Consider the following 17,835-nt stretch of genomic DNA (forward strand, 5'->3'; position numbering starts at 1 on the left):
GAACAAAAAGTTGGAAAGGAAAGTGGGGCCCAGGCTGAGATATGTATACTTGTTGAACCAGGCAACTGTAGGTTCTTGAGCAAAGACAACGACCATGATGTAAGTATCTGAAATTTGGTTACATCCAGAAGTGTCACTGACCTGTAAAGGATCAAAATTTTATTTGTCTAACCTGAGAATACAGCCATGTTCCTGGGGGTGAATGAGGCCTAGTGGCATCCTGATCACTGTCCCAGGGCCTGGCCAGAAAACTGGGGAATGGATGAAGAAGGTGATGTAACCCAAGATCTATAAATTCTTGGATATCTTTGTTATATGCTCCTCATCCTTTTTTTTTTTTTTTTGTTACATCCTGCTGAGTTGCTTTGTCAATGAGGGGAGGAATAAAATGTTCTTTTTAGAGGAATGTTACCACAACAAAAAGCTCATCAGCACAAACTGTTCCGAAATAACACAAAAACTGTTACCCTGCTCTTCTCTGCGCCAGTGGTGAGCTGTTCTTTTTCAGTATAGTTTTTGCCTTGCCTTGGTTTCCACTGCTCTCCCTGCAATCTCAGGCCTCACATGGTTAGAGAGGCCTGCTGGTCTAGGTTTGCATGATCAATCACAAGCTACCTTCCTGAGAGAGAAAGTACCAAAATGTGTGTGCCTAAGTCACTTCAAACATGTATAAGATAGCCTTAGAGTTCAGGATCTAACTAGAAAGTTGGGTAGATATCTCAGGGTTTAGAATGTTGTGTAATGGATGGTGGGGTACCAGAAACCCTGGTTCTTTTGGCCATTGAGGACCTGAAGGGTTTTTTTTTTTTCATTCATAAAACTTTTATTCCACTTACATGAATTTAATACACGTGTTCTTAACAATTATGCTTGGATTATTAATGAAAATTTCATAAGATATTAAACAAAGCTAGCCATCATCTCAAGTTATTTCCTTGTTAACTATTTTTACAGCACATGCATGTTAGGCAAGTATCAAAAAAAATCACAACAGCAAAAAAACTAAAAAAAAAGAAGTTAAATACATGGGTTTTTCTTTTTTTGTTTTACTGCTGTGCTTGATATACGTGAAGTAATGAATATCAAGCAATTCATTTTTACTGCATCTTTACTTTTACATTTGTTTTTAGGTTGCCTAAAACATTTAAATACAAATAAAATGAGTGTAGCAAAAATAATGAAAGCCAACAGCAGGTAACTTTACAAATAATGGAATGTGAACTGTTTCTGCCCTTATCCAGAGTAAAATGGGTCACAACTTTGTCTAAAGGAACACTTCTGCAGCCGTAGTCAAAGGTGTGCACAGTGAGATTGAATATTCCATAGATATACAAGATGTAACATGTGGGCCAGGTGTGGTGGCTGACACCTATAATCCCAGCACTTTGGGAGGCCAAGGCAGGAGGACTGCTTGAGGCCAGGAGTTCAAGACCAGCCTAGTCAACATAGTGAGACCTTGTCTCTATAAAAAAATAAACAAGTATGAAAAAAAAAAAAAAAGGGCCGGGCACGGTGGCTCACGCCTGTAATCCCAGCACTTTGGAAGGCCGAGGCGGGTGGATCACGAGGTCAGGAGATTGAGACCATCCTGGCTAACACGGTGAAACCCCGTCTCTACTAAAAATACAAAAAATTCTCCGGGCGTGGTGGCGGGCGCCTGTAGTCCTAGCTACTCTGGAGGCTGAGGCAGGAGAATGGCGTGAGCCTGGGAGGCGGAGCTTGCAGTGAGCCGAGATCGCAACATTGCACTCCAGCCTGGGTGACAGAGCAAGACTCTGTCTCAAAAACAAAAAAAACAAAAAAACAAAACAAAACAAAAAAGATGTAACGTGATATCCATGGGATATCTGTTTCTACCACAGCCGTTTAAGTGCTCCAAACCTTAAAGTACCCACAGTTACTACACCTGTGACTGGAACCAATGATCCCTTTTACTCCCTGCCAGGACAAACCAATGTGTAGGCAGTTTTCTTTGCTTAGACATGAAGCAGTTTTAACACTGGCCCTTGTGAAGCCACAATGTACCAAAAGTACTATGCCAAACATTTATAACCTTTAGAAAAATTCCACATTTCCATATTGGCCACCTCAAAATGGAAACAGATAACTCCCTAAATGTTAACCGGCCCTGCTCTCCTAATATTAAACATAAAAACCACATGGGAAATATAGATATTCAAGTAGAAGTAGCATAAACCTGTCATAAATCATAAACAAAAACTCTTTGTGGGACAGCATGGATGACAAATGGTCTACTATGTAACTTTTAGAATGAGGCAGACAAAGTTGGAAGGCTGGTTAATTTTCCCCTTGTTCTCCTGCTTCAGCTTCATTTCCTTGGGTTCTGATGAAGGACCTGAGATTTTTATAAGTCATCTTAAAAGCCTTGCTGATTACTCAAGAGCCTTAGTAGAAGTCTGAAGGGGTGCTCTATTGAGGCCTCATGTATTCAGCCTCCTACTGGTAACTTTTCTGCATAACTGGACTGTAACCCCAGTTACAGATCTTTTAAAATTTTTGCCATTTCTGAAGTAAGTCTTTATTCCTACAGATTATTGTGACTAGAGTGTTAACTTTTCGTTGTATGAATCAAAGCATGTCTTCAGGGCCTCTTGCACTATTACCCCAGTACCTAGATTCCTATATACATTCTTATGATTGCCTCTTATAGTTATCTTCTTATAGTTTTATCTCTTCTTTGATTCATTTTCATTTCTTTTTTTTATAGACACATTTATTCAGCATCACGATCAAACTATTACATTTAGCAATCAACAGCATGAGTAAAAAAAATTATCTACACTAAAACTCTTTGTTGGCATGCTTTACATTTTCCACAGAAAAGAAACTAAAATAACCTGTTATACAATTAGTCACAAACACAGTCCTACTTTTTTTTTTGCCTATACACATTAATATTGTCTAAAACATGTCTTCTTTGTAGCAGCTAGGCCCTGCCACCACTGTGCTTGGCTGAGTTCACAAATCTGTTGTAACCTGTAGCTTCTTTGTCACTTCTCTGGCTCTCTTCTGCTAAGTATTTTTCTGGCAGTAATTAAAATCTGCCACTGCCATAGCTACTGACTGGAACCACCATAGCTGCCTTGGTTTTGTGTTTTGGCCAGTATAGAATCCAGAGCTTCTGCCTCCAAAGTTTCCTCCTTTCGTGCATCCAAAATTTGAGGACTGATTGTTATAATTGCCAAAATTATTGTAGCTTCCACCACCTCCAAAATTGCTTTCACTGCCACCAACAAAGCTGCTTCTGCCTCCATCGTTGTTATAGCTGTGAGAGCTGACACTCCTGCTGTAGCCACTGCCCTGATTTCCATAATCCTGCCTCCACTTCCATAGCCTCTGCTTCCTTCAGCGTAACCAGGGCTGCCCCTCTATAACCACTGTTGTTACCAAATCCATTATAGCCATCCCTGTTGCTACCAGATCACCACCAGCATGGCTGCTACCAAAGTCACCACAACCACTGAAGTTTCTCCTCCATGACCAAAGTTGTCATTCCCACCAAAACCACCTCCACGACCATCACCAGAGTTTCCAGAACCATTTCGACCTCTTTGGCTAGATGAAACACTAGCCATCTCTTTCTTCGACAGGGCATCCCTAACTTCATAGTTGTGGCCATTCACAGTATGGTATTTCTTTTTTTTTCTCTCGAGACAAGGTCTTGCTCTGTTGCCCAGGCTGGAGTGCAGTGGTGTGAACACAGCTCACTGCAGCTTGGACCTCCGGGGCTCAAGTGATCCTCCCATCTCAGCCTCCCGAGTAGCTGGGACTACAGGCGCGCACCACTGCACCTAGCTAATTTTTGTATTTTTTGTAGAGATGAGGTCTTGCCATGCTGCCCAGGCTGGTCTTGAACTCCTGGGCAAGTGATCCCCTGCCTCGGCCTCCCAAAGTGCTAGAATTACAGGCATGAGCCACTGCACCCAGCCAGTATTTCTTTTAAAAATATTTGTTTATTTATTTTGAGACAAAGTCTCACACTGTCGGCCAGGCTGGAGTTCAGTGGTGTGCGCATGGCTCACTGTAGCCTTTACCTCCCAGGCTCAAACGATCTTCCTGTCTCAGCCTCTTGAATAGCTGGGACTATAGGCACATGCCACCATACCCAGCTAATTTAAAACAAATTTTTTTAAATTTAAAATGTATCTTTTTTAAAGCCCCCAACAAATATCCTTTTCATAGTTAAGTGGGCATGTGGTCTTTGAGAATCTTCTCTTGATACAGCTCTTCTGTCCACCTTATGTAGCCTTGCATTCACGGCTGCATCCACCTCCTCCACAGTGGCATATGTGACAAACCCAAAGCCCCTGGAGCACTTGGTATTTGGATCTCTCATTACCACAGTCTGTGAGTGCTCCCTGTTGCTCAGAATGGCTCATTGGACCCTCACTGGTCATTTCAAAGCTCAACTCTCTGATGAAGAACTTCTACAGCTGTTGGGACTACTTAAGAGACTCTGTCTTAGACATGATAGCAGTGGGAAGAGAGACTTTAATGATGTTTTCAGCGGCATCCATGGGTAGAAAAAGCCATTCTCGTTTCTAATTGCTGAATATACTCTGCTGTGAAATTAGACTTAGGGCAAACTGAGACTCAGTAGGCATGTTATAGAAAAATATATAATCAGGCCAGTTGTGGTGGCTCACAGCTGTAATCTGAGCACCTTGGGAGGCTGAGGCAGGAGGATTGCTTGAGCCCAGGAGTTCAAGACCAGCCTGGACAACATAGGGAGACTCTATCTCTACCAAAAAAAAAAAAAAAAAGCCAGATATTGGCACAGAGACCCTAAAAGAGACTTTTTAAGAGTCTCTTAAAAGAAAAGAAAAATATATAATCATTTGTGTAGGGGCAGCTAGTTTGGTTAAGTGCCATCTTTGCTTGCTTCTCTTCTGGATAGCAGAGGCTATGTATTGTGGGCCCTTCAGATGTGCAAGATGGCTCTATTGGTGATGGTGCCCTTCTTGCAGAGCTGGCAGGGAGTTCTACCAGGCTGGCAGTATGAGAATTCATGACCTGTGTTCTGTTCAAACTTCTGGTGGGGTTTGCTCCATGGGCAAAAGATTTGTTGCAGTGGGATGGTACTGTTAGGTTGTCCTTAACAGTATGAGTTGGGCAGACAAGGGCCTACCTAAGACCATTGTCCCCTTGACTGGACCAGACTTTTTGAGAGCAGTGCTATTTTCTTTTCTGGAGCCTACATGGCAAATCAGGGCATTTATTCAGTCATTAAACAAATTCTTATTTAATACATATTAAAGCCAGGCACTATTCGAAGGCTAGGGATTCCACAGTGTACAAAACAGATAAGATCCCTGCTTTTAGGGAGCTTGCGTTCTAGTGATCTGTATGTCACAGGTGATTAAGTGATAAGAAAACTTTGAAATTAGGCAGAACTGTGATCAGATTATAGTAGTCTAGTGACTTTGCCTTTGGTTTTCTCAGGGTAAAGTGGTAGTTAATGATTCCTACCATTGCAGCGTTGTTGTCAGGATTAAGTGAGAAAAGTGCTGTTTAAAGTTCCCAACACAAAGAATTCTCAAAACTCGACAATAGAAAATAAGCCAGGCCAGGTGTGGTAGTGGCTCACGCCTGTAATCCCAACACTTTGGGAGGCTGAGGCAGGCAGATCACTTGAGGTCAGGAGTTTGAGACCAGCTTGGCCAACATGGCAAAACCCTCTCTGTACTAAAAATACAAAAAAATTAGCTGGTGTGGTGACACGTGCCTGTAATCCCAGTTACTGGGAAGGCTGAGGCAGGAGAATCGCTTGAAGCCGGGAGGCGGAGGTTGCAGTGAGTGGAGATCGCACCACTGCATTCCAGATTGGGCAACAAAGTGAGACTCTGCCTCAAAAAAAAGAAGAAGAAGAAGGAAGAAGGAAGAAGGAAGAAGAAAATAAGCCACTTAATAAAAAATGGGAAAAGATTTGAACAGAGACTTCAAAGTAGATATATGGATGGCTAATAAGCTATGAAAAGATACTCAATATTATTAACCATTAGGGAAATGCAAATTAAAACCATAATGAGGTATCACCACATGCCTGTTAGAATGGCTAAAAATAAAAAATGGACAATATCAAGTCCTGGACGAGGAGGAAGAGCCACTGGAACTCTTGCTGATGGGAATGCAAGATGATACCGCCAGTCTGGAAAAGTTTCACAGTTTCTTACAAAGTTAAATATATGTCCCAGCAATTCTTCCTCTAGGTATTTACCCTATGAATAAATGAAACTTTATATTCACAGTAGAACCTGTATATGAATGTTTATAGTATCTTTATTTGTGATTGCCAAAAACTGGACATAACCCAAATGTCCTTCAATGTATGAACGGATAAACAGACTATGGAAAACTACTCAGCAATATAAAGGCATGAATTTTTTGGATGAACACCTGTGGGGAAAAGCAAAAACAAAAGGCAAAAACAAAAAGCAAAACAAAGGCATGAACTACTAATATACACAACATATGTGAATCTCAGAGGCATTATCCGAGGGAAAGAAACCAGTCTCAAAATATTACATACTATGTGATTCTATTTATATGACATTCTGAGAAAGGCAAAACTATAGGGATGGAGACTAGGTCAGTGGTTATCAGGGGTTATTAGTGTAGGGGAGGTTTTGACTACAAGGGGAAAGCATGGAGGAAGTTTTTGGGAGTAATGGCCTAACTGTTCTGTGTCCAGATTGCAAGGGCAGTTACATGAATCTATTAATAAATATGTATTAAAACTCATGGAACTATGCGCCAAAAAGTTAAATTTCATCATATGTTAATTTTTTTAAAGTTCCCAGCATAGTACCTGACACGTAATTCAAGCTCAGTGAATACTCGCTACTTTCCCTTTTCTCTTTTCCTCTATATATCCAGGAAATCAACTAGCATCTGACAGTTGTATTTTTCTTAGATAGGGTCTCACTATGTTGCTTAGGCTGGTGTTGAACTCCTGGGCTCAAGAAATCCTCCTGCCTCAGCCTCCCAAAGTTCTGGAATTACATGTGTGAGCCACCACGCCTAGCCTGACAGTTGTTTTTTTTTGGAGATGGAGTCTCACTCTGTCACCCAGAATGGAGTGCAGTGGTACAGTCTTGGCTCACTGCAACCTCTACCTCCTGGGTTCAAGCGATTCTCCTGCATCAGCCTCCCTAGTAGCTGGAACTACAGGCGCGTAGTGCCACACCCAGCTAATTTTTGTATTTTTAGTAGAGATGGGGTTTCGCCATGTTGGTCATGCTGGTCTTGAACTTCTGACCTCAGGTGATCTGCCCGCCTCCAGCTCCGAAAGTGCTGGGATTACAGGCATGAGCCACCACGCCTGGCCCCTGACAGCTGTATTTTAATGTTTGTCTGATGTATTTTGAGCCCCTTTAGGGAAAGAACTGCTCTTATCTGGTTTGTCTCTCTTTTCCCCAGTGCCCAACAAAGTCTGTTATAGAATATGTGCTTAATCACTGTGTTGAATGACTGACCAATATTGCTATAGCAGAATGCTATCATTCTGCTATGGGAGTCTTAGCAAGGGTGTGATCACACATTTTAGGGGATAAGGATGAGTAGGTAGCAGTATGAATCCAGGAAGCTACAAGATCTACTTATGACTTCTGTTAGTGTCTGTGGTGTCTGGTATAGAAGTATAACACAGGGTTATGAGCTTATGCTCTGGAATCATACAGACTCCATTCTGCCTCTTCCAGCTGTGGAAACTTAGAGAAGTTACATAATCCCTTTCCACCTCAGTTTCTTCATTAGAAATTGGAGTAATAATAGTAGTAGGCTTTTCATGAAGATGTTGCAAATATTAAATGAATAATGCATGTAAAGCACTTAATACAATGCCTGGCACATAGAAGAGGCTCAATTAAAGTTTTTACGTTATCATCAGAAAGAACATATATTTTGATGCAAACAAGCCTGTATTCAAAACTTGGCTTTGCCACTTACTGGCTATACAACTTTAGGCAAATAACCTTACCTTTCTGAGCCTTGATTTTTTTTTTAAGCTATTTGAAGAGGGATGTTGTGAGACATTAATGTATGTAAAGCCCCTAGCACAATGCCTGGTACGTGATAGGTGCTAAAGCCATGTTTTTTTCTCCCTCAACATGAGGGTACAATAGTGAGGGCTGGCTTGTATAGCAAAATTCCATATCAGCTCTATCACCATCCCATGGCACCACAGCATTTAGCCATGGGAGCCACTCCCAGCAGTGTGCCTAACTTGACTAGGGCCAGGACACTGTAGGAGGCAGAGGTAGTTCTGTTTTCGCTTAAGTGGTTGATATTAAGAGGGAGGGCATGATAAAGCAGGATCACACATTTATAGGGACTACAACTTTTCTGGCAGCTCACCCAGCCTCCTACATATGCCTGTGTACTTTTTTTTTTTTTTTTTGAGACGGAGTTTCGCTCTTGTTGCCCAGGCTGGAGTGCAATGGCACTATCTCGGCTTACCGCAACCTCCGCCTCCCAGGTTCAAGCGATTCTCCTGCCTCAGCCTCCTGAGTAGCTGGGATTACAGGCATGCACCACCACGCCTGGCTAATTTTGTATTTTTAGTAGAGACGGGGTTTCTCCATGTTGGTCAGGCTGGTTTCAAACTTCTGACCTCAGGTGATCTGCCCGCCTCGGCCTCCCAAAGTGCTGGGATTACAGGTGTGAGCCACCACGCCCGGCGCCTGTGTACTTTTAAAAAGGTCTGGCTTTTGGGCCAGGCACGGTGGCTCATGCCTGTAATCCCAGCATTTTGGGAGGCCGAGGCGGGTGGATCACCTGAGGTCAGGAGTTTGAGACCAGCCTGTCCAACATGGTGAAACCCCGTCTCTACTAAAAATACACAAATTAGCTGGGGTTGGTATCAGGTGCCTATAATCCCAGCTGCTTGGGAGGCTGAGGCATGAGAATCACCTGAACCCCAGGGAGGCGGAGGTTGCAGTGAGCCGGGATTGTGCCACTGTACTCCAGCCTGAGTGACAGAGTAGAAATGTCATGAGACCTGTTTAGAGTTTAGTGGGGGTAGAAATAGACTTGTTTTCTATGTTTTTCATTGTCCCATCCAGAGTAATGCTAGGTCCTGGGAGGCTGTGAGAGTTCGGGAAGCTGGCATCAGGTTCCCGATGCCACCATTTGGCTTCAGCGCTCCCACCATTTGGCTTTAGCTCATGCTACTAGTTCATGTTATGCTGTATTTCCTTAATCTATGCTATAGCCACCCCAAACAGAATCAGAGCTAAGGGAGCTAAACTCTGAGGGGAGCAGTCAGCAGGTTCACTTGCAATATCTAAAGTGCCAGGAGGAACTTGGACTTTATAGGTAGTAGTATATAGGGAGAGAGTAGGAAGCCCAGTGCTGTGGTTAATATGGGCCAAATTAGATGAAGATTAAGTAGCTGGGTTATTTGCAGATGTTATTACCATAATTAATAATAATTATATTCCCTTTTGTGCTCTGGGCCTCACTTTCTTATATTCAGATAGCTGTAGACAACCCTTAAGTGTTCTGCCTCTAGTTTCTCCCGGAAAGCCCATGTTGTACATGCTGCCAGTGATCTTCCTAACCTACATTTGGGTTCTGTGTCTCCTGCATGATTTCCTTTTCCTGTTTCCTTTAACTTCCTGTACCTACCACTCCATCTCTTTAAATCCGATTTTAGCCTTTCTTTTCTTTGTTTTTCATTGAAATATATTTTTAAAAGAGTCAGGGTCTTGCTCTGTCCTCTAGGCTGGAGTGCAGTGGCACAATTATGGCTCACTGTAGCCTTGAGCTCCTGGACTCAAATGATCCTTCTACCTCAGCCTCCCAAGTAGGTAGGACTACAGGTGTGCACCACCACACTAGGCTAACTATTTTTGTAGAGACAGGGTCTTGCTATGTTGCCAAGTCTGGTATTGAACTCCTGGTCTCAAGCAACCCCTCACCTCAGCCTCCCAAGTTGCCGGGGATTACAGGTGAGAGCCACTGCACCTTGGCTACCTTTGTTAATTCTCTGGACATACCTCCTACCGCTTCGGTCTGGCTCCAATCTTCTTTGTCTTATAAACATTTTATGTTTATTTCCAGTCCCCTTTCTTTGCTCAGGTAGTTCTCCTTACCTGGAATTAACCTCTTGTGCCCCTCCCTGCACCCCTAGCCCTGTCTGTATCAATCTTAGTTGTCCTCTAGAATGTGCCAGCTTCATTTTATATGAACCTTCCCTGACTTTCCCATTCCTACTGATCTTCCTCATCTCAATACTAACTCCCATAGTACATAGTCTCTATCGCTCGATTTAGCACTTAATTAGAAATTGCCTTGCTTTGTGCCCTAATGATTTTGATTGTATTGTTTTGTCTATAACTTTGTGTTCCTGCACTAATACTGGCATTATTAAAGCACAACTCATCAGATTACTTCTACCATGTGCCAAGCCAAGCTGATTACATATAAAGTTTTGTTTAATCCTTAACCACTCTGTGAACTAGGTGTTATTAACTCCATTTTAGAGATGATAAAACTATAAATGAGTGGCTTACTTTTGCTTGTTTAATTAATCTAAACTCTGCTCTGTCATTCAATGCTCCCACCATTTGGCTTTAGCTCATGCTGCTAGTTCATGTTATACTGTATTTCCTTACTCTATGCTATAGCCACCCCAGACATGCTCTTCATATCTTATCACTGTGCCCCTGTTCCAGATAAATCCTTATCCTGGCATTTCTCTGCTTCCCACTTTGCCTGTAAAAATCAAGCCAGGTTTGGTGGTTCATGCCTATAATCTCAGCTACTTGGTTGAGACAGGAGGATCGCTTGAGGCCAGGAGTTCTAGACCAGGCTGGGCAACATAACAAGACCCCATCTCTTTAAAAAAAAAAAAAAAAAACCCACACATTTCAGTGCAATGCCTGGAACAAAACAACAACAACAACAACAACAAAAAAAAACAAATAGAAACAAAAGGAAAAAGAAATTTCATTTGTCCACCAAGGCCTAGATCAGGGTTTCGGAACCTCAGCATTATTGATATTTTGGGCCAGATAGTTCTTTGTTGTGGGGAGCTGTCTTGTACATTGTAGGATGTTTAGTAGCATTCCTAGCCTCTACATACTGGATGCCAGTAGCAAACCTTTCCCCTTCCCCCTTCCAGTTTGACAACCAAAAATATTGCCAGTTACTATTGTCAGTTGTCAATTTTCAAACTGCCCCTTGTTGAGAACTACTGGCCTAGATTAAATGTTGCTTCATCCAAGAAATATATATATATTTTTTGGAGACGGAGTCTTGTTCTGTCGCCCAGGCTGGAGTGCAGTGGTGTGATCTCGGCTCACTGCAACCTCTGCCTCCCAGGTTCCGATGATTCTTCTGCCTCAGGCTCTCTTTCATCATGTTGGCCAAGCTGGTCTTGAACTCCTGACCTTGTGATCCATCTGCCTCGGGCTCCCAAAGCGCTGGGATTATAGGCGTGAGCCACCACGCCCAGCCAATCCGAGAAATCTTGTTTGTTCTCCTACAGTGGGAAGTAATCCTTTCTCATGTTCGAGAGTACTTGGCATGAACCTTATGTTTGTCATGTTGCTCTGTTCTGTATTGTAATTGGGTCCATCCTTAACTGTCCTACCAGATTTTGAGTTCCTTTAGGGGTCATGAACTAGGTTTTATTCATTGCTGTTTCTCATAACATTGTGTTTGGTTCAGGACCTTTCTCTTAAGGGTGCTGAGTTGACGTTATTTTTGAATTTTGAATTCGAAAACAAAGATACTATCTTATTGTTTTATGCCCTTTAAATAGTTTCTCTAGTGCAAAGGAGGAGTACAGAGTGGGCTGGTCAATGGTACTGGGGACAGAGTGCTTTGGACTTGTGAGTTCCCTGTCAGGATAAAAGCTGAAGTCAGTGTTGGGTTGTTTTTCTGGAGTTGCTATAGTCTGGGCTCTAGATATGTTAGTATATGACCTATACGTCTGACCTCCTCTGTGACCTTCTTCCCTACCCTTCTGCCCTATGTTATGAATCATGTGCAGAATCTGGATGGAGGTAAGATTACTGTACTTAAAATGATAGGAAAGACTTTAAGAATAACACATACTATAGGAGCACAAGTGAAGAAAAAAAGGAAAACACTGAGAATGCCCAAAGGCTATGTAGTAGAGCAAAAGTATGTACTTATAAAGCAAGAAAGATAGTTTCAGGTATACTTTTGCCAATTATTAGTTGTTTGACTTTGGAAAGTTTCTCTCTCTCTCTGTCTCTTTCTTTTCTTTTTGTTTCTTTTTTCTTTTCTTTTCTTTCTTTTTTGTTTTGAAATAGAGTCTTGCTCTGTCACCCAGCCTGGAGTGCAGTGGCATGCTCATAGCTTACTGCAGCCTCAAACTCCTGGGCTCAAGCAATCTTCCAACTACAGCCTCCTGAGTAGCTGGGACTACAGGTGCACGCCACTATGCCCAGTTAATTTTTGTATTTTTTGTAGAGACGGGGTTTCGCCATGTTACCCAGGCTGGTCTCAAAACTCCTGGGCTCAAGCAATCTCTGCCCACCTCAGCCTCCCAAAATCCTGGGATCGTAAACATGAGCCAACGCACCCAGCCTGGAAAATTTTCTTAAACTCTGTGAACTTTCATTTCCTTACCGTCAAATTAGTCAGTAATTCCTACCTTGAAAGATTATGGCAAAGATGAAATGAAATCATGTATATCAAGTACCCAGCCTATGGTCTAGTTTATAGTAGCAGTATTTCTACTTCTTTAACTCGTACTACCATTGCTATGATGTACTAGGCTTGTGCTGTGTACTCTTGCATATGCTGTCTCATATAATCCTTACAAGAAATCTCTGAGACAGACAGTAATTTTTTTCTGTATAACCCATAAGGAAAGAGACTGAATTAGCTCATTGTTAACCATTTTTGAGGTTATTGTAACTCAGATGTGCCTCAGGCTGATGATAATGTTCTAAAATTAGATTGTGGTGATAGTTGTATACTTCTGTGAATATACTAAAAACTATGGGGTTTTATACTACAATTAGTATGTGAATTAAATCTCAATAAATATGTTTTTTAAAAAAGTGTCACCGCATTGGTTGGAGTGGTGGTCACCTTTCGCTTGCCTTTCTGTAGCCCAGCCCATAACAATCCTTAGGGCCCTGTAGAAAAGCACTTTGAAAGTCATGTTGATTTCTATCTCCATTTTTAATTTTTATTTTTTTTGAGACAGGGTCTTGCTCTGTCACCCAGGCTGGAGTGCAGTGGCGTGATCTCTGCTCACTGCAGCCTCCATCTCCTAGGGTCAAGTGATTCTCATGCCTCAGCCTCCTGAGTAGCTGGGGCTACAGGCATGCACCACCACGCCTGGCTAATGTTTTTGTGTTTTTAGTAGAGAAGGGGTTTCTCTGTGTTGGCCAGGCTGGTCTCCAACTCCTGGTTTCCAGTAATCGGCCTGCCTTGGCCTCCCAAAGTGTTGGGATTACAAGTGTAAGCCACCATGCCCTGCCTCTATCTCCATTTCCCCTGCCTCCAACTTTGATAGAGATGCAGTGGTGCTTTGAAGTCTGAAGTACCATGGTTGCTGGAAGCAGATCCGTGGTTAGCTAACTGACAGCGAGGTTGCCTCAGTTCCTGGGGAGGTATAGATGACTTTTGAGAATGTCAGACTGAAGAGTCCTGGAGCATTCTCTTTTGGAGAATTTCTCCCTCTTTCCCTCTTTTTATTCCTTCCTTTTCCTTTTTTGTAGTTAGTACTGCTTCTGGGGAAGTTAAGATGTCAAAGAATCTGTGGGACAACCCTGGTGGCAATTCCCTCTTACCCATATACCAGGGGCCTGAATCAATTTCTTGACCCCTACTATGTGACATTACATGTGAGGAGTTGTCAAAGACAGCCAGCCAAGTGGCTCTAGTTTTATTTTTCCTTGATTAACCTTGTGCTCAGGGCCTCTCTCTGATTCCCATGGCTGCTATATCACTCCCAGAGGCCATACCGGCACCTGAGAAGCAGAGCTCTCCTTTTGGTCCCTGGACCCAATTCTGAACATAACTTTTCTTTGCATTCCCTGCACACAGCTTTGACAGCCTGGAGCTACTGCTGCTGCTGCTTTTTCTCTTTCTGCTCCTCCTCCTCCTCTTTCTCCTTTCTTTTTTTTTTTTAGATGGAGTTTCCTCTTGTTGCTCAGGCTGGAGTACAGTGGCACAGTCTCGGCTCACTGCAACCTCCGCCTCCTGGATTCAAGCGATTCTCCTGCCTCAGCCTCGCGAGTAGCTGGGATTACAGGCATATGCCAGCATGCCCGGCTAATTTTTGTATTTTGAGTAGAGACGGGGTTTCATATGTTGGTCAGGCTGATCTCGAACTCCTGACCTCAAGTGATCCGCCCGCCTTGGCCTCCTAAAGTACTGGGACTACAGGTGTGAGCAACCGTGTCCAGCCTCTTTCTCCTTTCTTAAAAAAATTTACTATATGCAAATTTACTTCAGCATTGGTTTCTGGTATATATATTTTTTGCTACAGTAATTCTTCTTTGACTTCAGTTTGGAGGCACTGCTCTGCCTTTTTTCTTTCTAGTTCTCTGCCTGTATCCTGGTGCAGTCATCATCTTGTCTCCTACTTCATGGAACATTCTGACCCCCTGCTCTTAATTCAGGCAAAGCATGGATTGAAGTCTGCTCAGGCCCTTTGGACAGAACAGAGATAGCTGACACCATGAATGACATAATTTTTCAAGTGAAACCTGCTCCTTAGGCTAAAGAAATGTCCTGTTCCCATTCTTCCTTGTAAGTACTTATAGGGTGGCTGTAGAATTCACCTACCAGGAGTGGCTCATCAGTTTATAGGCCGCAACTTCCATTGAGTTCAAGTTATTTGGCCCAGCTCATACATTCAGTCCTAACTTTTGTGAGTTTATTAGAATAGCTTTAGAATAAACTATTTGGACTTTGACTTTTTAAAAGTCTAAGCATGAGCTTTGGAGTCCAACCTGGGTTCAAATCCAAACCTTGCAATGTACTAAATATATGGCCAAGTGATTTGGAGACTCACTTTCCTCATCTATAAAGTAATGATGACAATAAGATACTCTTTGCCATGAACAAGCCCTAGGCTAGTGAGAGACACAATTATGTAAACAGGCAGTGACAATAGCACATTTTAAGGGCTGTAATGGTAGTATGCATAGGTCCTGTGGGAGTTTCCAGAGGAATCAGGATGCAGTGATCTTATATGTACTGGTGTAGCAGAAGCCATATTGTCAGCCAGCACGCAGGCAAGGGTACCAGTTCCCAGACAAGCTGAGCTACGTATCAGTGAGAGTAGGCATAGTTTGCAATCTGTCCCAGTACCTTAGCCAGATACAAGATGAGGCAGCAGCTCCCCCAGATGGTACCCCTCATGTTTCCAGGAAAACCCGACGGTGGCTTGCTTTGACAGATAGGGAAATTCTTTCTCACTAAGCAGGCTGTTGTTTTCCTTCCCCCCTCTTTGTTATTGAGTCTGCTTTGTCTTTTCTGGATGGTAATCCTGTCGATGACAGGGATGAGATATATTTGTAAGACTTGTTTGTATAGATGTCTATATATGTGTATATGTCTATATGTGCCTTTGTGTTTGTGTTTTTTTTGTATGTGTGTATACATCATTTTGTGCTTGTGTGGGTATGTGTCTTTCTGCATTTAGATGTGTCTGTGTAAGACAAGAAGTGGAGGGAGAAGAGGAACACTGAGCCAAGGAAGTAGGGGCTGAAAGAAAGCCCATAAATGAGGTTGAGGATCAAGGAGCAGGTTAGGGACAAAGGGTTTGGCCTGAGGTATAGGACACAGGACCTGGAAGTAAAAGCAGAGCCAGAAATGTAATCAGCAGCCCAAAGATGCTGTCAGTCTAGGCAGAATCTGGGCCCCACAGAGTGGTAGGCAGAATGCAGGTATCACCTAGCAGCCAGGAATGGTCAAGCTAGCAGAGAGAGAAAAGCCATGCTTCAGAAATTAAAAACTTCTGACTCTTCCTGTCTAAGGAGGAATTGGCAGCTGGCTCCCAAGGCCCTGCTTCCCTTCAGACCTAACTGGTGTTTGTGTTTGTTTGACTATATATGTATTTTTTCAAGTCCTTCTGTGCATGTCTGTGTCTGCATATGCCTCACATTCAGTGTACTTGTACTTCATAGCATTAAGAAGAATTGTCTGATTCACTTAAGTTCAGTGAGTTTCCTTTCATTTCCTTTCATTCATTCTTGTGTTCTTCTCCTCACTTATAAATACCTCCTTTGAAATCTTTCTTACTTTTTGATGTGCTCCTTGCCTTCTTTCTCTCTTTTTTCTTCAAACATATTTAGTGTGTGCTATGTGCTGGATGCTGGATATGCTTTGCATATTCATTTAAAGACTAATAAGATGAATTTACTACCTAGAAAGGTCTCACATATTACTGAGGCAAAAAAAAATACATATTCAATCCCCATAGATATTGTAACAAGAGATGAGCCCTGCATGCTCTGGAAGTACAGAAAAGAGTTAATCCATCTGAGGATGATAGGAAACACTATCCAGAAAAGGTATTGCCTGAGATGAATTTTTGGAGATGAATAGGGGTTTACATGGGGAGGGGGCTGAGCATGATACATCATGTGGAGTAACAAGTATGATGTCCTTGGGAATCTGTGGTCAGTGGTTCTTTTAACTTGAGCAAATGTAATAGTGGGGCAGGGAGGGAGAGGTTGGGAATAAGATTAGAAAGGCAGGCTGTAGCCAGATTTGTGTGCCATACTGAGGAACTTGGATTTCATCCTAAAGTTGAAAAGCTAGAAGTAAACAGAGCTGGCCCTAATTCTGACTGAAGGTATGTCAGGAGCAGGTTTTGCAGAGGAGGTGAAGTTGGAACTTGGTTTTTAAAGATGAGCAGGAGTTTACTAGATGAAGAAAGGAAGAAGAGCATTCCAGGAAAGGGGAACTTAACGAGTAAAGGCAGGAGGCAAAAAATATGGCAACTCTGGGAGACATCAAGTAGGGAAGTATCTAGAGAATAGTTATTTCATCTATGAGATAGGGACACCAGTAACATATACCTTCAATGGCTGATGTGAGGCTTGAAAAATATCCTTTGTAAACCATAGAGCTGTGTGCAAATTTCTATAGTTGTTGTGTTATCCAGTTTCTTCTAATTTTTTGTCAGTACCCAACATGCATCAGGCCTTCTCAGGTATAGATCCACATAGGCATACACCTCAGCAGTTTGGCACTGGCTTGATGAGAGGCATGCCCTCTTTTATCTAGCCACTTGGTGTCTTGAGGAGGCAGAGGTAAGATTAGAAGTCTCTGGGAAGTCACTGGTAAGATTAGAAGTTGCTGGGTCCCTTGACAAGGGGGCTCATATTCTTTATTCTTGTTTATCCTCAGACACTAGGTTTCTCCTCAGATAAACCAGTATAAATAGTATGAGCCCCCTTGTCAAGGGGACCTAGGTTCAGAATAGTCAAACACATATGAAGCATCTTCTACATACAGGCACTGTAAGGGACTGTGCCTTAAATTATCTCCTTTTCTCCACATTGTAACTGTGAGGTAGTTTGCATTTTACAGGCTCTAGGTGACACAGTGGTAAGTGGCAGAAATGTGATTCAAGACATTATCTGTGAAATTCTTTTTCCTCTGTGACACTTCATAAGCTTTGTGATTTCTCTGGATGTTGACCAAGCTGCGTGATCAGTTAAGAGTGGAAAACTTTGTGCAGTCTCAGGCAGTATGGGGATGGAGGAGTTGGAGAGAAAGTTGCTTGGCTCTGTCTTTGGGATTGAGTGGTAACACTTTCCTCTGCATAGAACAGTGGTTCTTTCCTTCGAGGACCAACTCTCTTCTATA

General features: G+C 42.5%; 1 protein-coding gene and 1 pseudogene across 22 annotated transcripts in view; one reads left to right on the top strand and one right to left on the bottom strand.

Annotated features, from left to right (window-relative positions):
- The window catches only part of STIM1 (stromal interaction molecule 1), a 238,607-nt gene that overhangs the window by 115,143 nt on the left and 105,629 nt on the right, over positions 1–17,835 (top strand). The window lies entirely within an intron of this gene.
- On the bottom strand, positions 2,953–4,547 carry HNRNPA1P76 (heterogeneous nuclear ribonucleoprotein A1 pseudogene 76; annotated as a pseudogene).

This window comes from Homo sapiens, chromosome 11, assembly GCF_000001405.40.
Source record: "Homo sapiens chromosome 11, GRCh38.p14 Primary Assembly".
In the NCBI taxonomy this organism is placed as follows: Eukaryota; Metazoa; Chordata; class Mammalia; order Primates; family Hominidae; genus Homo; species Homo sapiens.